Source organism: Homo sapiens, chromosome 20, assembly GCF_000001405.40.
Source record: "Homo sapiens chromosome 20, GRCh38.p14 Primary Assembly".
NCBI lineage: Eukaryota > Metazoa > Chordata > Mammalia > Primates > Hominidae > Homo > Homo sapiens.
The window spans coordinates 54344086-54365316 of record NC_000020.11 but is presented as its reverse complement, the minus strand read 5'-3'; the positions used below and the strand labels follow the sequence as shown (position 1 = coordinate 54365316).

The 21231-nt window shown below is 38.3% G+C and overlaps 1 annotated feature.

Moving 5' to 3' along the window:
* Positions 5193-5694: an enhancer, noted in NCBI's record as "NANOG hESC enhancer chr20:52976162-52976663 (GRCh37/hg19 assembly coordinates)". NCBI's record gives its function as "activates a minimal SCP1, AML or CMV promoter by ChIP-STARR-seq in naive H9 embryonic stem cells {active_cell/tissue: H9 hESC(naive)}" and the evidence as "EXISTENCE:reporter gene assay evidence [ECO:0000049][PMID:30033119]".

Below are 21231 nucleotides of genomic sequence, written 5' to 3'. Positions count from 1 at the left end.
ATGTGCAGAACACTGCAATAATAAAACGTAGGAACATTTTTAAAAACGTCAATGACTTTAATTTGGTGCTGGCAATTAGAATTTTCAAAACACAGAGGCTTTGAATATATGAGTACCTCAATTGATCTCCAATGAACCATCTTTCATAAGCATATGCATCTTTTACGCTTTGTAAACACCAAAGGTCTTGAAAAACAATTGCTCAACAAATATTTTTTTGATGACGCTTTCTCATTACGACAGACCCAAATCATAAGGTAATCATCAACTAATGAATCTCTTCCTCAGCTTAGAATTTTGGATGAAACTTTCCATGTCAAGAATTTTGTTCGTAACATTGAAACTCAAATAATTTTATGTATAAGTACAGCTTTCAAAAAGCAATTGGTAATAAAAGTAGCAAATGCTTCACATTATTCTCAACATAATTTTCAAATTTGATTTTCCAGTGTAAAACTCAAGGCAAAACAAAAACCAATCATCCAGCTAATTGCTGTGAAATACAAAGTCATCTTTCCACTGATTTATTTTGTAATATGGTTTGGTTTTATTTACCTGTGATGTACTCAAAACATTACAACTTGTTTATTCTTATGAAAATTAATAATAAATGGAGTCTTAATCTGGGGGCTAGAGAATCAGACTCCTTCTGGCTTGTTTACAAAATGATCTGTCATCCTTTCCTGAGAAGCAAGTAAAATGCTTGCTCAAAGGCTGAAAGAAGGTTGGTTGGTAATCTCTAACATGAGGAAATCTGTGCTATTCAATTGAGCCAGATAGCTGTTTCAATCACAAGTTGAACTTTGTAAATGAAAAGAGTTCAACTCTGCAAAATATTTGAAGAGATTTATTCTGAGCCAAATATGAGTGACCATGGCTTGTGATACAGCCCTCAGGAGACCCTGAGAACATGTCCTCAAGGTGGTCAGGGCTCAGCCTAGTTTTATACATTTTAGGGAGACATGAGACATCAATCAAATACATGTAAGCTATACATTGGATTGGTCCAGAAAGGTGGGGCAATTTGAAGCAGGGAGGGCCTCCAGGTTTTCAGTAGATTTAAAAATCTTCCGATTGGCAATTGGTTGAAAGAGCAATTATCAATAAAAAGGAATATCTGGGTTACGATAAGGGGTTGTGGAGACCAAAGTTTTATCATGCAGATGAAACCTCCAGGTAACAGGCTTCAGAGAGAATAGACCATAATGTTTCTTATCAGACTTAAGGTCTATGTCAATATTAAATGCTGGTCTGCTTTTTCTGAATTTCAAAAGGGAGGAGGGTATCGTAAGGCCTGCCTGACCCTTCCTTCCTATCATGGCCTGAGCCAGTTTTTCAGGTTAACTTTGGAGTGCCCTGGCTGAGAGGAGGGGCCCATTTAGATGACTGGGGAGACTTAGAATTTTATTTTTGGTTTACAACTTTTTTAAAAATAGTGTAAGATAGATTTGACTCAATAGTTATATTTCTCCCTTGAAATTGATGACAATTAACAAGATATTTTAATGTTATTGTGTCTAAAAATCTCCCTTTTCCTTGGTCACATATTACAATTCCAAATTCCTTCTTAAAAAAATAATAATAATTTGGAAAGTTCTGTTGCTAACAAGAAAGCGTTCAGGAGCCTATTTCTCCTGGGGTTCATAAATGTAAGTGAGAAAAAAAATTCACCTATGTTTTCATAAAGTCATTATAAAATAGCAAATTCTTCTGCTTGCAAAAGTATATGTTTAATTTAATATCATAATTATACAATTTAAAACTCACAAAGGCAGGATATTTTACACTCTTTTATTATAAAATATACATTGAGAAAAGTGCATCAAACATGTACTTACATATAGTTCATTTGTTATAAAGTGAACCCCTATGCAACCACACAGTCAGTGCCCCAGAAGCCCCTGTTTATCTTTTCTTAAAATTTATCCCAGCCCCTCCTACCCGCCATTAGCCTGACTTTCTGTAAAACAGCAAATTCCTAATGAGCTCTGTTGAGAGACTGCCATTCAAGTGACTCCTTAGCATTTCCCAGTTATCAACACCATGTTTCCGTCCAAAGGCACATGCAATTTTAAAAGGTTATGAAACTACCAGTCCAGGACATACTTCCATAAACTCATTCATTTCCATCCAAATGCTGGAAAACCATCCTTTAATCAGAATATATTGCACCGTGAGGTGACGGTGGATTTGTTATACTGATTATCACATTGCATTAGAGAGTATGTGTATGTGGAGTAGAGTATGGTCTTCCTTAACAGGTTATGAACCCCACAGAGAAGGATCGTCCTTATTAATCTTAGTCCACCTGGCTTCTCACCCAGCACCTGGAATAGAATGCGTATGCAAATGTTTTGCAAATGAAATGAGTCAAGAAATACTTATTGAGTGCCTGTTGTGTGCTAGGCATCATTCTAGGCATAGGGAATATAGTAATGAACAAAAGAAACTGGTTTCTTGCTGTCATTGAATCTATATTCTAGTGGAAATGACAGATAGTAAATTCTTAAATGAAGAAGAAAAAATATCACATAGTGATAAGTGTCCTGCAGAGAATTAAAATAGGATAACATGCAAGAGCACTGGTTCTCAAAGAATGATCTCCATATCAGCCACATTGGCATCACTCAGGAATTTGTTAGAAATGCTGATTGTCAGGCCTCACCCCAGATCTGCTGAGTCTGGAACTCTGGTGGGGGAGCCCAGCAGACTCTGCTCTAACAAGCCCTCCAGTCATGGGAAGATCAGGAGGGAAGCATTCCAGGCAGAGGAACCAGATAGTGCAAATCCCAAGACAGAAACACACATAGTTAAGTTCAAGGAAAAGCAAAAAGGCCACTGTGGCTGAAGTAGGGCAAGTAAAACCTGGAGTGGAACACTGGATTTGACAGATAAGGAGAAAAACCTCTTTTCTGGCCTTATAGGCCATGGCAGTGTCTTTGGATTTGATTCTCACATAGATGAAATGCCTTGATTCTCACAGTTTTAAGTAGAATAACATGGGTTGGCTGCTGGACAAAAAACTGAATGCATACAAAATGCATATATATGTGTGTGTGTGTGTGTGTGTGTGCATCGATGCAATATATATGTATATATGCAATACACATGTATATATATTGCATGTATAGTACATGCACATGTAAGTATACGTTATATATATAAATTTTGTATACATTATGTATACATGTAAAGTGTATGTGTGTATATATGTATATATACTTATACATGTATACATACATATACATATATGCAATGTGTGTATATGTTGTATGTATAGTGCATGCATATATACATATACATATGTATACTTATATATACTTCTATATATATATGTATACATGTAAGGGGTGTGTGTGTGTGTGTGTGTGTGTGTGTGTGTGTCCGTATAAAATTGTTAAGCTTCCTTTGCCCAAACAACTGTTTTTGTTTTTGTTTTTTCTTTTCCCCCAAAGCAAGTTGGTTTACTAGCTTGAGACAATCAGTTTGGAAAACAGTTTGATGCTACCACTTTCCATACTATGAGAGCTGAACTTGCTTTGGAGCAAGACCTCTGCGGTGGAAGTTATTCCTGGTTAGCTATCCCGTAGCTCTTGCAGGGTTTCATAAATACTGCCTGCCAAAGTACTCCTTATGAAACTGGCAGCAAATCTGTGGTGAATGGATAAAGAGGAAGGGTGATGCCAAACTAAGGAAGAACAGAGATGAAAAATATTTTGATTTCATTCATATGACATCATTTGGTTGCCATAATGCCAGATCTTGAGCTTTCAAGGGAAAGAGGGGGAGTACAGAGTTCCATGTATGAAATTTTTAAAAAAGATTTTAATTAATAACTATCAAAACTACCAGCTTATTACCATCACACTAAGAAAACTTAAAATTGCAAGTAGATAGTCAATAGGCCTAGCCCCCTACTAATGCAAAAATAATTAAACATGCTTATTTACTAAGAGCAAATTTATAATAACACTTAATGCCTTATTTTCCTATGCCATTTGTAATCATCTTTCACTAAAGTAGTTGCTATTCTTCCAAAATACAGCATCTCTCACACTATAGAAGGCAGAAGCATGGACAACTTATGAGCCTAGAAATCCTAATTTTATTCTGATAGTTGCTCTAATGAATAATTTACATACTAATGTTAATTGGATGAATCAATAATTTTTCTCATGTGGCAAGACTGTCATTAAAATAGTTCATCCTAAGGACATTGGCCCATTTCTTTGCAGGTCTATCTGGCAGTAGATTTGAGACACCATCAGTTTGTACCTCTTGTCTCTTTTCTAGCTCTGCTATCCATTAAAAGTAAATTCCAGCACGTTTTTTCCTTCTACACATTTGCATGTAAATTAAAGCTTTCTTTTAGTAGTAGAAAATTTCTCTCTTTTTATTCTAATTTACTGGCCAGTTAATAGGTTCTTGCATATTTGTTTTCCAATTCACGGTTCCACTCATTAAAAATAAAACCCTTTGAATGTTATTTGGTTAGAGATAACTTGAAAGAAATTTGTAAAAATAGTGTAAGTTTTTAAAAGATCATTTACTTTGATTGGAAGAAACACATGGAAGCATTTCAGAACTTCGTTTTTAAATAAAAAATTCAAAAGTGAAAATAAAAACTTAATTTATTGGTAAGCAAGTGGATTCTATTATTGCTATTACCTACTTTTTGCTTAGAACTTCATTAAATTTTCATTAATATTTTATACTGTCTCATAGAGTTATCCTAAAAAGAGGTCACTGCATTAAGGCCTATGCATCTATCATTTCTTGTTATATGATGAATAAATGATTTCTTGATTACCTACTACGATAAAAAAATAATAATCCCTGATGATGAGTTATTTACAAGCAAATTAGGAAGATGAGATAATTTCTAAAAGATAATGAATACCACGAGGGGGGATGTTACTATGCAATTTGATTTACAAACTTAATTTACAAATTTAATTACTGTCACTGGTCACCAGGCCCATAACCACAGCACCCCGCCCCAAAAAAAAATGCACTCCTCTCAGTTAAAACATTTTGTGCACGTTTCAATACATGTATAATCATTTATTTTATATATATAACACTGTTATATTGTACTATGCACATGTTTGACTAAATTTAAAATAGGACTTTTAAAATGATTTGATAAAGAGTGAAGTAACAAATATCTTAGTTATAATTTTATTTTATATATTCATGATAAAACATTCTTTTCCAACTAACATATTGTTAGTATTTTATGGGGAACAACATGATTGAATATGCCTTAATGTTTTTTAAAATGCAAGCTGAACCGTGATTTTAAAGGTCTAAGTTAAACGTTGGCTTTTTATGGCAGTCAAGAGTTACAAAGACATCTTAAAAAGATAACATGGACCCAAATAGAAGAGGGACATCAGTGGACATGTATCCTAAATGTTGATATTTATTTTCAGACCCAACTGCCAATTGTGCAGCATCGTTCAAAACTGGTAAATTTGCATCTTCCTCAATGTCAGTTCATTGTTTTGTAAATTAAATGACAAATGCCTTTTGGTTTTTAAACAAAAGGGTACATAAACCTACTAAAACTCTTCTTCAGAAAGATTTTTTTCGTGAGATAGAAATTCTGTTTCCCTTGGGTATATATCCAGTAATGGGATTGCTGGGTTGAATGGTATTTCTGTCTTTAAGTCTTTGGGGAATCACCACACTGTCTTCCACAATGGCTGAACGAATTTGCACTCCTACCAAGAGTGTATGAGAACACATGGACACATACAGGGGAACAATAAACACTGGGGCCTTTTGGAGGGTGGAAGTAGGGAAAGGATCAGGAAAAATAAATAATGGGTAGTAGGCTTAATGGTGATGAGGCCAGACACGGTGGCTCACACCTGTAATCCCAGCACTTTGGGAGGCCGAGGCGGGCAGATCACAAGGTCAGGAGATCGAGACCATCCTGGCTAACACGGTGAAACCCCGTCTCTACTAAAAATACAAAAAAAATTAGCCGGGTGTGGTGGCGGGCACCTGTAGTCCCAGCTACTAGGGAGGCTGAGGCAGGAGAATGGCGTGAACCCGTGAGGCGGAGCTTGCGGTGAGCCGAGATCGCGCCACTGCACTCCAGCCTGGGAGACAGAGCCAGATTCCGTCTCAAAAAAAAAAAAAAAAAAGTGATGATTAATAGGTGATTAAATAATCTGTACAACAAACCCTCATGACGTGTTTACCGATGTAACAAACCTGCCATGTACCCCTGAACTTAAAACAAAAGTTAAAAAAAAAAGAAATTCTGTTTCTATTTTTTATTTTTAAGGATATAGATCGGTTCCCTCCATCTACTCACCCACACATCCATTTTTAAAGGCTCCTCTCAACAAAACATGTTTCTTTTGAAGAGCATGTTGCTTTTCACTGTTAAAATATCGCCTTTACCTTGCATGGACATTCTAAGCTTCCCCACATGCCCCCAAATCTGAATTTCAGGCCGAATGTTCTGCCCGATTTCTTTTAACCTTGAAACATGGGTGAGGAATAGTTGACAGTAGGACTAGGAGCTGCACTGTGCTGGTGCTGGTTTGCTGTGTGCCTGGGCTTACGTTATCATTGCTATTTTCAATCTGCATTTTCTTTTCAGGAATCTTATTAAGTCTTCTGTAATTTTATGAGGGTATGTCTAATTAAAATGAGGTTGCATTGTCCACACATCCACTTCACAGTGCAAATGTAATCTGCAATGCGTTGCGTTGGGCAGCAGTGAATCAAAGAGCCCAGATGTGGCTAGGGACCACTCTGCACCAAGCAATTTCATCTCTTCTTTACTTCACCTTGCACAGGGTGCCAGATGAATGATCTCCTAGGCTCAGAACTGGGGGAAAACACCATGTTGACTTGTGTAATAATTATCGGCAAAGGCCAGTTACCTTCCTGTTTTATATAAACGTAAGTGTAAATAAAACTGCACTACTTTGCTCCCGCACCTCCCTGGCTCTCCTGAGTCTTTGTTAGGATGCTGTGTGTACTCCACTGAGGAGCTGTCATAGCAGAAGGCAGAGAAAATGGGCTTCTTTTCCTGGCTTTTGAATTTCAAAAACCTAGTTCTTGAGGGAAGAGAAAAGACTCTCTTCTCGCTCTGAGTATGAACCACAACTTGGGGAAGCAGATGACGAATAAAAGCGCAGCTTCCCCTCCCATCAGTACAAAACACTTCTTTAAGCAGTGGAAGAGAGACAATCAGAAGGGAATCAAGAAGAAAGGTGACTTCAGGGAGCCCCTGAGAGACAGCCCTGGGCCCTGCTCCTCAAGTAGATTAGTGGGATGCTAGAAAAGAGAGCACCTGGACCGTGGGACACATGATTTTTACCTTAGGCACACACTTCAGGACTCTAAGATGTAAATCCACTGTATCGTAATATCTGCACTCTTTTAAACATTTCCTGAAACTTCCTATACAGACGCACTGGAATTTTACTTTTAATCCTTTTGTATATGCTACCCCAAATTCCAGGATTCGGAAAGCAGGCATTAAACTCAAATAATTTGAAGACCACTTTAATACATTCTTAAAGCATACTTGTTAAATTATCAGTCAAAAACCATGTCTAATTTTAGTCACTTAGCATCTCTAAGACTCCAATGTTTAGAAAATCTGTAGCACGAAAAATCCATAATAAGAATGATTTGTGTATGGAAGATGAAGCATTGGGCAAAGGACTCCTAATTTTCATTGGATTGGGTTTGTTTTTAAACTTACAAAAAAACGGTGGGGGGAGGTAATAGATGTTGGGCTGAGGTATTTACCATGGACTTTTCTTTTTTGCTTTAATGCTAAAAATGATTAATCAAATTTGGCCAGTTAACATCATGAACATGTGATTTTCCTCTTTGCACCGGTCTCTTAGGAAACTTTAGAAATGCTACTTGCCTTGCAACCCAGTTTTCTTTACTAATCCGTCTTAATTGTGTCATCGGCCATGTAGCTAAATTGCCTGTGGACATATGTGATCACCAGGCTAACCTGTTCAAATGGCAGGTTAACTATGCTCTGTCCCCTGCATGATCAGCTACTCAAATGTGAAAGGATGTCTTTGCAAAATTGAAAGCATGCCACTCAAGTAAAATTAATGGATGTAAATATGAACTCTTCTGGACAAATTGCAAAGACAAATTGTGGGCTAGTGAAAAATCTTCAAAGTATCTTGCATGTTTGCTAGAAGATAATTGGAATGACCTAGCTACAGGGATGTTTTGTAATTGTTGCTACTGAGTAGTCTCTGAGAAGTCCAATAATATCCTCTTAAAACACACCAGAGAGCAAAGATGAACACCATCTGGCCTGCTTTCCAAAACAGTTGGTCATCACAGCTGATGTTAATTTGAACATTCATTTCTTCTGAAATGAGGTGGGGGCTGTATTCTTGCTCTCCAACAATGTCCTTAAGTTCCAGTCTTTGATTCATGCATCAGCCTTTCTGTTGCTGCCAATGTTTATTTTGTTTAAACATGAATTTAATTTAGCATATTTGTAATAACTAAGTAATTTATGCTCATAAAAATATTCAGATAACAAAGGAAAATAGAAAGAAATGAATAAATACTATCCATAATCCCACCACTCAGGAATAATGTTCTATTTTTACATGTCCATCTATAGGCCTATGTTTATCTTTCTAATTTAAATATAATTTAAATAAAAATGAAATTACATTTACTGGTTTTTTGACTTATCTTTACTTAATACTAAATATCATGAATATTTTCCTGTCAATAAAAATAAAATAGTAATTGTTATGGTTGTATAAAGTATATGGGTGGTTTGGAATATATTAACTAATCTCATATGGATATGCATTAGGCTATTTTTAAAATTTTTCTATATTAGGCATCCTTTTCTAATATTTATTTTTAATTTATTTTAATATTTTAAGTTCCAGGGTACATGTGCAGGATGTGCAGGTTTGTTACATAGGTAAACATGTGTCATGGTGGTTTGCTGCACCCATCAACCCATCACCTAGGTATTAAGCCCAGCATGCATGAGCTATTTTTCCTAATTAGGCATCTTTTTCTTAAAGCAAAATCAGCTCTATTGAGACATGTACAAACCACCTATTAATATTTGAAGCATAGAATTTGAGGAGTTTGGAAATATAAGCAAATATTCTATGTATACACATTTGTGCATGTGGAAAATTATTTCCCTAGCATAAATTCCTAGAAATGAAGTCATTGCTCTACAGTACATGTACTTAAGCTTTTTTTATACAAATTGTCAAAGTGCTCTCTAGAAATGCTGCACCAAGAAATACTTCTGATTCCTATGTTACTCAAAGAAATAGAAAATTTTAAAAATAGCCGTCGAGACAATTTTGGAAGGATTTTCAAAATGAGTCTAGAAGTCCCTGCATAATCTGGGCCCTGTCAACCTCGCCAAACCAATTATACACCCCCTTGTACGCTACATACCAGTAGATACTCATTTGTTCAAACATGCCCAGTTCTTTCCCTCTCGGGGCATCTTGCCAGACTTTCTGCACTGCTGCATCCCAGTACCCCACATGGTGGATCTTTGCATCATTCAAGCCTCAGCTTAAAAAATCCCCTACTCAGAAAGCCCTCCTGCCACCGGCCCATTTAATATCAGTTTTCTCATTGTTCTCTGTGTCTGAATCACGTTTGTTTTCTCTGAACATTTTGTACCATGTACAGCATTATTTGTTTATTTACTTAATTTTTTGTCTTTCTCAGTAGAATGTGAGTTCCATGAGGGTAAAGAAATTATGTGTCTTTAGTATATATTCTGTATTGAGTTGTTGAAAAAAACTAAAGGATAAATGAACAAATGGAAGATATTTACCAGTGTGTTTGTTGTATACATGCAATCAGCTGAACAAAATTTTAAAAGTTGATTGTTTGTTCTTATTTAATTGTTTGACTAACAGCATCTCAAATCCATAACTGCCAATTGACATAAGAATGATTATCTTAAATCTTATGTAAATGATTAAAACTGACATAAGAAAGTCTAGGGAACTGATGCATAGCCGAAGAAGAATATTAATTTTTTTTTTTTTTTTTGAGATGGAGTCTCGCTCTATTGCCCAGGATGGAGTGCAGTGGCGCGATCTTGGCTCACTGCAACCTCTGCCTCCCAGGGTCAAGCGATTCCCCTGCCTCAGTTTCCAGAGTAGCTGGGAATACAGGCATGCGCACCACCATGCCCAGCTAATTTTTTGTATTTTAGTACAGAAAGGGTTTCACCATGTTGGCCAGGATGGTCTCAATCTCCTGACCTTATGATCCGCCCACCTCGGCTTCCTAAAGTGCTGGGATTACAGGTGTGAGCCACTGCGCCCGGCCAGAAGAGTATTAATTTCTAAAATTTTCCTCATGTCATGTTTTCCTCTTCAAATGATGCCAATCTGGGCTCCCACCCTTCCTAAGACTCCACAGAAATTGTGTTGTCTCATTTATTGATGATTTCCTTGGTGCTAAAACTGCTGGACCTTCTCTGTCCTTCAATAGCAACAGATGACACACTGGGATGAGCCTGCTCCATCCTTCCCAAGACATTCTCCTTCCTTTACTTCTATTTTCTTCCTCTACTTGACCTTCCAACATGGCAGTGCTCCAAGAATTGGTCTACCCTCTTCAATTTTCTAGCTAGAAAGGTCTCATCCAGTCCATATGCCTAAAAATAACCTACCTGACTCTTAAATATTTACCTCCTGCCAAGTCACTCCACTGAACTCAAGATGCAATTAGATAGCCAATTGCTTATTTCATATCCAGCCATTATCTTAGTAGACACACTTAGTATGTGTGATCCACAGTTTGTTTCCAGCCTTTACCTTCATCTCACATCATGTGTACAAAGTGGTTTCCTTCTCAGACTCTACCGTCTTATTAAATGAAATTTCCATTCACATACCATCTCAAGCCTTGCAGTTAAGGGTCATTCTTGGTTCCTTTCTTTTTACCATCCACCTCAAACAACCCACCCTCACCATCTGTAAATATATATTTGAAATCCATTTGCTTCTCTCCATCTCTACTGCTGTCTTCTAACTTTAAACCATCATCACTTCTCACCTGGATTATGGAAATATCCTTCTAATTTTCAATATTTTCATTCTTACCTGCCTACGATGCATTTTCCCCAGAGAAATCGGAGGAACCTCTAAAAAATGCAGCCTACATGATGCCATTCCTCCTCCAAGAGCTATAAATACTGCTTAATTCTTGGAAAATAGCCACACTTCTGACAGGCAAGAACAAGGTAACTGCAATAGACATTTCCATCTAACAAGTGGAGGAATCAAAAGTATATAATAGTTACCAGTCCATAAAGACTCTAAAATTCAGGTGACCACGTGTTCTTAGGGCTCCTTACTCCCAAATCAGGATGCTCTTGGATTGGGATTCTTTTATGCTCCTTACCATGGTTCGCAAATATATTATTCTCTCCTACCACTGGGAAAGTCACCCTCTTCCAAACCCTCATAGATTATTCTTGGTACCTGCCATAGAACTTAAAATATTTTGTCATGAAACATATTTATATGTAAACCTGCCTGTGAGCAGGTACTGCAATTCAATGTTGTATTCCCCACTCCTCATGGAAAATAGAGACTTTACTAACATGGATACCCAAGACCTATTTACTGGATTACTAATTTTACAAAGAGTCAACAATTACCAAAAACGTTTCTATCTCAGAAGACCCATGCAAGGCCATAGGTTAGCACCTAGACGAGGAAAAGGAAAATGTCAGTTTCAAGTTGATATAAATTTCAGAAAATCTCTCCAGCCACAAAGTTCTTAAATTACTGTGTCAGGACAGAGTTGTAACTACTTCACTTCAATAACAGAGAGAAGCTCTCTTATTTGTTTCACAATTAAGAGACCAAAATAGCTGGTTGCAATGGCTCACACCCGTAATCCCAGGACTTTGAGAGGCCGAGGCAGGCAGATGGCTTGAGCCCAGGAGTGTGAGACCAACCTGGGCAACACAGCAAGACCTATCTCAGACAAAAACAAAAACAAAAACTAACCAGGTGTGGTGGTGTATGCCTGTAGTTTCAGCTACCCAGGATGCTGAGGATCACCTGAGCCCAGGAGGTCGAGCCTGCAGTAAGCTATGATCCCACCACTGCACACTGCACTCCAGACTGGGTGACAGAGAGAGACCCTGTCTCAAAAAAAAAAAAAAAAAAAAAAAATTAGACAGCAAAACATTGCTTTCTGCTATTGGCCAACATATACACATGTGGACATACACAACTTGATGAGTTGTAGATTGTAGAAGTCTGTCACCTACAACAGAGCTTGGAATACTTTTTTATTTACTGTGAAGAGTTCTTCTCATTAGGCTCCTGTGTGGTTATCAAATATTAACAATTATGAGACCTACAATAACAATAATCAGGACTCATGTAAATTTCCCATATGTAATTGATCAAATGTTTGTGTCTCCCCCACCAATTCCCATGTTGCAGCCTTGAACCCCCAACATGACAGTATTTGGAGACGGGACCTTTGGAAGATACTTAGGGTTAAATGAGGCCATGAGGGTGGGGCCCTGTTGATGTCAGTGCTCATACAAGAAGAAACACCAGGGCTGGGCACGGTGGCTCACACCTGTTATCCCAGCACTTTGGGAGGCTGAGGCGGGAGGATCACCTGAGGTCAGGAGTTTAAGACCAGCCTGGCCAACATGGCGAAACCCCATCTGTACTAAAAATACAAAAAATTAACTGGGCGTGGTGGCTCGTGCCTGTAGTCCCAGCTACTCGGGAGGCTGAGGCAGGAGAATTGCTTGAACCTGGGAGGCAGAGGTTGCAGTGAGCTGAGATCGCACCACTGCACTCCAGTCTGGGTGACAGACTGAGACTCCATCTCAAACAAAAAAAAAAAAAGAGAGAGAGAGAGGAGAGAGAGACACGCAGAAAGAAGCAATCCGGGAAGAGTCCTCACTAGAAATTCACCATGCTAACACCCTGATCCTGGACTTCCAGCCTCCAAGATTGTGAGAAAATAAATTTCTATTGCTTAATCCATCCAATCTACAGTATTTTACAGTATTTTGTTGCAGTACCTCAAGCTGATTAACCGACTATAAATCATTTTATTTAATGTAGTTAGCTGTGTGAGTAGGTATCACTGTTGGCATCTCAGGTTTTTGTGGTAAAGTAAGGGTCAAAGGATTCAGAAGCTGCCTTAGTTTACTCTGGATTAAGGTTTCCCAAGCTTAGCATCACTGACATTTGGGGAAAGAACTCTCTTTGTCAGGGAGGTGGGGCTACTGTCCTGTGCATTGGAGGGTGTTTAACAGCACCCTGGCCTCTACCCACTAAATACCAGCAGCAATCCCACCTCTCAGTTGTGACAGTCAAAAACATCTCCAGGCATTGTCACATTTTCCCTGGGTGGTCAAAATGATGGTGGGCTGAGAACCAGCAATCTAGACTATTTCCTGCTACCAGACACTTTGGGGAACACCAGTGTAGCTTATGTCTTCTTGAAACTAACCCATGTTGTTTGATGTTCCAATCTATAAAATCTATGACAAAAAAAAAAAAGAAAAATGAAAAAAGAACTTTACTGAACACTATGACTGTTTTGAGCTGTCACATGTCATTGGAAGGTGAAATTTGAGAACATCGTCCTTTATAATTCAATTTCCTCTGATCTGATGTAGTGAATCCATGGGTGGCCCTATCTTTGATGGTGGCACACTTCCAAACTCAAAGAAATCCATGTGTCATTGTGTTACGATGCCCTGTCACCAGTGCCCTTAAGCAAAAGAAAACTTTGGTAGCATTTCATGACAGACTCTAGAATGTCTGATTTCATATATTTTTAAAAATGATTGTGTCACAGTGGAATCAAAGTCAGCAAATAATTATATAGAAACTGTGGCTACTCCTGAAAAATATGACAACTTGCATTCTATGCATTATTTTTGGCTGTTTAAAAATTACATATAGTAGGATTTTAGCTATTTTTATCAAATTTACGTTTAGAAAAAGTCAGATATAAAGTCCAGATTTGCAACTGGACATTAGAGATTTGTCAGAAATTGTGAAACTCTACTATCAGATGGCTGTCTTTTTTTTTTTTTTTTTTTTTTTTGAGACAGTCTCGCTCTGTCACCCAGGCTGGAGTGCAGTGGCGCAATCTCAGCTCACTGCAAGCCCCTCCTCACAGGTTCACGCAATTCTCCTGCCTCAGCCTCCTGAGTAGCTGGGACTACAGGCACCCACCACCATGCCTGGATAATTTTTTGTATTTTTTTTTTTTTTTTTTTTTTTTTTTTTGCCGAGACGGGGTTTCACCATGTTGGCCAGGATGGTCTCGATCTCCTGACCCATGATCTACCTGAAATGGCTGTCTTCTTGATGTGGACATAACTTTACATAAGATTGCATCAGATTAGATGAAATTAAGCCTTCAATCATGCCATCTATTTTTAGTCACATTTGTGAATCCATTGTTAGTAATTCTGCCACCGAGAACTCCACAAATCCTTGGAAGACTGGAAAACTGAAATACACTGGAAAAACTTCAGTTTTGTTTCACGCAACCTCCAACATATATTAAAAGAGCAATTTCTGAATTTGAGAGTGGTGCCAAGTTCCTGAAAGTGTTTCATCATCCACTTCAGTTCTGACTACCAGTTAGTTGAAGAGTTATTAGAACCCACTTCCCTGAAGCAGGAGGCTCTCACTGCCTAGCAACACCACCATTTTGTGCTCAGTGGCCACAGAGGGATCATACTAAGAAAATTCTAGATTGAATATAGAGACGAAAGTTCACATTCTCTCAAACATTTATAACTGGCAAAAGCAAACGATATTTTGAACCAAACTTTGATAATGACCCTTCTAAAAAGACATGACTCATCTATGGAGTATGGAATTTGTTAAAGTTGTTACAAAAGTGTCTTTATAAGTTTTAGAAGAGTGAATATTTTCCCCTTCTTAAAACAATGAAAATCCACTAATACGTTATTGGGAAAGAAACAGCAAAATAATGTATAACTTCAAACTTCCCTTTTGCATGCCATCTGCAATTACCCTTCTCAGAAGAAGCCATTAAATTTTGGGGTGCTCTGATTTTTTAAAAAATGAAAATAGAATACTTGTGTATATGGCAATCCCTTGGTATCCACAGGGAATTGGTTCCAGGACACCCTCAGATACCAAAATCCCCAGATGGTCAAGTCCCTGGTACAAAATGGTATAGTATTTGCATATAACCTACACATATCTTTTGGTATATTTTAAATCATCTGTAGATTACTTATAATACCAAATATGACATAAATGCTAGCTAAATAATTATTATATCATATTGGTTTTTATTTATATTATTTTTGTATTGTCATATTATTGTTAGTATCTTTTTTTATTTTTTGAATATTTTTTATCCCCATTTGGTTGAATCCACAGATACTAACCCTGTGGAGGTGGAGAGCTGACTGTATACACATGCGTTTTAATAATGCAGACACTTTACTATCCCATTGCTATTTTTCTTGATGTTTTCATACAACTATACAACTTAGAAATATTTTTATAGCTCTATCTCATTATTTTATGGAATGGGGGTATGGGAATTGGTCATGTAATTATGGAGGCCAGGAAGTCCCAGCAACCTGCTGTCCGAAAGCTGGAGAGTCAGGGAAGCCAGTGCTGTCATTCAATCTCAGACGAAAGGCCCAAGAACCAGGGGAACTAATGGTGTAAGACCCAGGCCCAAGAATCAGGAGCGCTGGTGTCTTAGGGCAGGAGATGGATGTCTCAGCTCAAACAGACAGCGTAAATTTGTTATTTTGTTCTAAGCAGGCCCTCAACAGATTAGATGATGCCAGCCCAAATTGGAGAAGGCGGTCCTCATTACTCAGTCTATGGATTCAAATCTTAATCTTTTCCAGAAACACCCTCAAGAACATGCCAGAAATAATGTTTTACCAGCTATCTAGGCATCCCTTAGCCCAGTCAGGTTGACAAATAAAATTAACCATCACAAATGGAAATGCCATCATTTAAAAAAAAAAAAAACCATTATCCTCTTGATAGACATTTAGGTAGTTCATAAACATAAACTTGTTGTCTCTAACCTGCAGATATATCCAGATCTGAGCACGACTCTCCTCCTCCAACTGCACTATCCCTGCCCAACCTGCCATATGTTCCTGCTGGATGTCCCTAATGGCCTCCTCACTGGTCAGCCAGTTCAGGATTTTGTTTCCCTACTGTCCATTCCCCACTCAGCCACCAGAATGACCTGACTAAAACATAAGTCAGGTCACATCACTGCTCCGCTCAGAACCTTCCTATTCTTTCCCATCTTATTCCAAATAAAAGTCAAGGTCATCTCAATGGCCAACAACCCCTGTACTCTCTGGTCCCTCCCAGATACTTGGCACTTCTCTGACCTCACCTGATTCCTTGATTTTCCCTAGTTTACTGTGTTCCAGCCACACAGGCCTTCCTGCTTTTTCTTCAACTTGCCAGGAACTATCCTACCTCAGGGTCTTTGACCTTACTGTTAACTCTTCCTAGATCACACGCTTCTCAGATATCCACAACTCCCTCTCTTACCTCCTTCTGGTCTTTACTCAAAGGTCAATTTCCAAGAAGGCCTTTCCTGACAACTATATTTAAATTTGCTATATACTCTCTGAAAATATTCATTGCCTTCTAACAATTTAATATTACCTATTTTAACTTTCTTTCTTTTGAGACAAGGTCTCACTCTGTCACCCAGGATGGAGGGCAATGGCATGAACACTGCTCAGGGCAGCCTTGACCTTCTGGATTCAAGCAATCCTCCCACTGAAGCCTCCTGAGTTGCTGGGACCACAGGCATGCACCGTCATGCCCAGCTAATTTTTAAATTTTTTTGTAGAGATAGGGTCCCACTATGTTGTCTGGGCTGGTCTTGAACTCCTGGGCTCAAGCAATCCTCCCGCCTCAGCCTCCCAAAGTGTTGGGATTACAGGCATGAGTCACCACACCTGGCCTATTTTAATTCTTTATCCTGTTTATTGTCTATCTTTCTCAACAAGAATATAAGCCTCATGAGAGAAAGAAAAACAAATTTAAATGTTCACTTATAGCTAATTCCTCAAGGCCTTGAATATATAAGCACTCAAAAAATATGTGTAGATGAATAAATGAGTTACAAATAATGGTGAAATGTACATCCTTAACATTTATCCTACAATATTTGGGCAAAATGTGTAGAATAGATTATAAAAGGAATTATTAGTTCAAAAGGTAGATAGTTAAATGTTTATAGAATATTAAGGACCAATATCAGAGATATCAGAAATATTTTAAAAATTAAATATGAAAAACATTCTTGATAGTAGAACATTTAAAGAACAGTTGTTGGCCGGGCGTGGTGGCTCACGCCTATAATCCCAGCACTTTGGGAGGCCAAGGCGGGCGGATCACGAGGTCAAGAGATCGAGACCATCCTGGCCAACATGGTAAAACCCTGTTTCTACTAAAAATACAAAAAACTTGCTGGGCGTGGTGGCACGCACCTGGAGTCCCAGCTACTTGGAAGGCTGAGGCAGGAGAATTGCTTGAACCTAGGAGGCGGAGGTTGCAGTGAGCCGAGATCACGCCACTGCACTCCAGTCTGGCGATAGAAGAACAGTTGTTGGTAAGGGGCCCAAGCTGTACTCAGCCTCAGGCAACTGCATCAGAGAATGCAGTAGAATTCTTGCCATGGCTAAGACATTGACACATTTAACAGCCAGACTCATTCTGGTGTTTATTTCCCTCAATTTACTCATCAGCAGAGGAGTGAGCCAAAAAATAAACCAGAATAAAATCAAATGATTCTAAAATGTGTAAGCAATAACGGAAACAAAGGTCTCCATATCCTGAATCCAATGCTGTCACAGCTCAGTGGAGCTGTAATTTTTGACTATTAATCATTCACAGAAATTCCAATAGAAAGTCTTCATGGGTGTGGTAAGTGCCATGTTTATCAGCTCCTGTTTACATCTCAACCCTGTCAAGCTGCGAAAAAACACTCAACCCATCGAAGCATCCATTTCAAGCCAGACTCAGTGTCAAATCCAAGACTATGCAATTAAATATAATTAGGAGGAGCTCAACTCCAAGCCATTCCTACAATTCTGATGTCAATTGATTCAAATGCCATTGTATTTGTCATTGTAATTACATGATGAAACTTGCTTCATATCTGTGACCAAAGCACGCACATGCACACACACACACCATATATACATTCTACATGCTTTTCCTAACTTTGCTAGGCAGCCTATACATTTTTTTCTCTCTCAAGGCACCTTTCAGTGAATACTCAGAGGAAACTACAATAATTACATACAGGCAACGCGATTAGGGTAGAAGGGTTTCTAATGATTACCTGTCTTCTGCAAGAGTTAGCTCTTGGTGAAAAGATGAACACGTTTTGCTATTTTTCTGTGGGCAATTTTTCAAAGTTATATGTGCAATTTATGCTATTTGAGTATTTTAATGCACCCACTGGAAACTTGAGCACCCAAAGTTGACTCCATGACCAGAAACAAAATAAATGTGAAGCCAGCAAGAATGGAAGTGCAATAAACAGGGCAAAATCAGCTGAAAATGTGGATTACTGAAGATATAATATTAGGAGATTTTTCTTCATTCAGTAGTGAAGGGGTTAGAATATGTCACCCCAAAATATGCCACATTGGCGTAAGGACTATTTCAAGCAGAAAGCAATTGAGAAACAACAGATGCAAGAAACAAGCACTCTACCCTCCCCCATTGGCCTAAAATCAGGGCATAGATTTCCCTTTGTGAAAATGTTGCCACTTCCTCTTTCTCCTACCAGAAAGGGCACAGCAAGTGTTTAATCACCAGAGGAAACTCTAGACTATCAGCCTCCAGGGGAGTCTGCATAACAAACCTTCCTAAAATAACCCAGTCTTCCATTATTTTCCTCATATGTTTACCTTTCCACAATTTATCACCACTAGAAACTCAAATTTATTTTCTTTGTCTTGTCATTTCTCCACAATTTTTTTGGCCCTTTTGTTAAACTGGTATATACACCTCCAGGTCTGCCTACTTCTTTGGGTTTTAATTTCTATGAGGCCCTTCATATGCATATGAAATAAATCCTTTTTCCTGTTAACGTGTCTTTTAATGTTTAATTTCTAGGGTCCCAGCCACAGAACCTATGAGGGTTTTTCCTTTGCCTCTGCAACAGATAGTTGTTGTTCTGATACATGCCAGAAACTCTTCTAGGCACAAGGCTTGCCAAGTGAGTTCTGTGTTCAACCTGATTTGGCTACTCACCACTTGAGGGAACTTAGGCAACTTACTGAAGGACTTTTTGACACAGTTTGTTCATCTCTAAATGGTCTCATCTTTAACTATGAATACTTTCCTTGTACGGTTTTTGTGAGAATTCTTCTCATTATTAACTTACATTTATTAGAAGCATATGCATTGGTCACTGTGCTGAGTGCTTTGGAAGCTTTTTTTTTTAATTTTCACAACAATCCCGTGAAACTGACACTGTAACTATTCCTCTTTCACAGATTAAGACTTAAGATGCAGAAAAGCAAAATAAACCTCCAAGACTCATGCAGCTAGTAGGTGACAGGGCTAGGCGTGCACTCCATACCCTAAGTTCCTCCTCCTCTTGTTCTACTGCCATTATTTTGCACAGTGTCCATGCTTAATAATTAATAGCCCTCATTATTAGTATTAGTATTCTCTAGACTTTAAATTGCTTCTGCCTACCTCACAGGGTTGTTGATTTAACAGAAAACCTCGCGTAAGTGCAATGGATCTTTCCTATTTTTAGTGGCGTCTGGGTTAATTAGACTCTTAGTCACTAGTCAGTGTATTTGAGTTTTTGGAAATGACTCATCAAAAACATTTCTAAGCAGGATATTTGCTTGCAGCATTTTCATCAGACTGCAATTCTCTGCCCTGATCCTTCAGCCTGGCAAATGCATTCCAAGAAAAGTATCATATTCCAGGCTCCCTGAAATGAACCCAGTTCTCAACCAAAAAGAGCCACTTGCCTTAATCCCCTTTTAAACACTGAAAATAATTCATAAATAATGTATCTTCATATGTATTGGCTCTGATAGAATCTGAAATAAGTTACATATTTTTAAAATTAAAAAATCCCGAGCAAGGTTTTTCTCAATTCTGACACAATTGATCATTCCCTGTTGCAGGAGGCTGTCCTGTGCATTGCAGGTTGTTTAGCAGCATCTCTGGCCTCTACCCACTGGAAGCCACAGGCACAGCCCCCACCCCAGTGGTGACAACCAAAAATGTCTTCAGACATTAATGAATGTCCCCCCAGGGGGCAAACTTGCTTGCAGTTGAGAACCATTGATCAAGGGCAACATTTTGAAATAATTATTTTTAAGGCTTTCTATGAGATTTGGTATCAACTCTGCCCTGATGTTTCTATGTATTCTTGGTGGGGGACAATGACAACGTAATTGTAGTGCCACACTTTTATTTTGGACCCAGTATCTGCATATATAAATGTTTATATAGAATTTGTACTATTAACATCCTATCATGTACTACTCTACTTGAGAGTTATCCATTGAACCAATTGATGCACAGTCTTTAATCATAATATTTACTGAAAGTTTATTATATGCCAAGTACTATGCAAAGGTGTTTTATGTACCTTGTCTTAATCAATTTTTTTTGTGGTTTGTTAAATATTTTATTCTATTACATATAAAGCTGTGATTCACATGGAAATTATTTTGATAAAGAAATTATCAGGATTGAACTGAATTTTTTTTATTATACTTTAAGTTTTAGGGTACATGTGCACAATGTGCAGGTTTGTTACATATGTATACATGTGCCATGTTGGTGTGCTGCACCCAGTAACTCGTCATTTAGCATTAGGTATATCTCCAAATGCTATCACTCCCCCCTCCCCCGACCCCACAACAGGCCCCGGTGTGTGATGTTCCCCTTCCTGTGTCCATGTGTTCTCATTGTTTAATTCCCACCTATGAGTGAGAACATGTGGTGTTTGGTTTTTTGTCCTTGCGATAGTTTGCTGAGAATGACGGTTTCCAGCTTCATCCATGTCCCTACAAAGGACATGAACTAACCTGTTGTGGAGTGAAGATCATTGTCTCCCCATCTCTACAACGGAGCCAAAGTAGAGATAAGGAGAGGGAGGCTTAAATAGACTCAGTTAATTGCACAAAGCCTCACC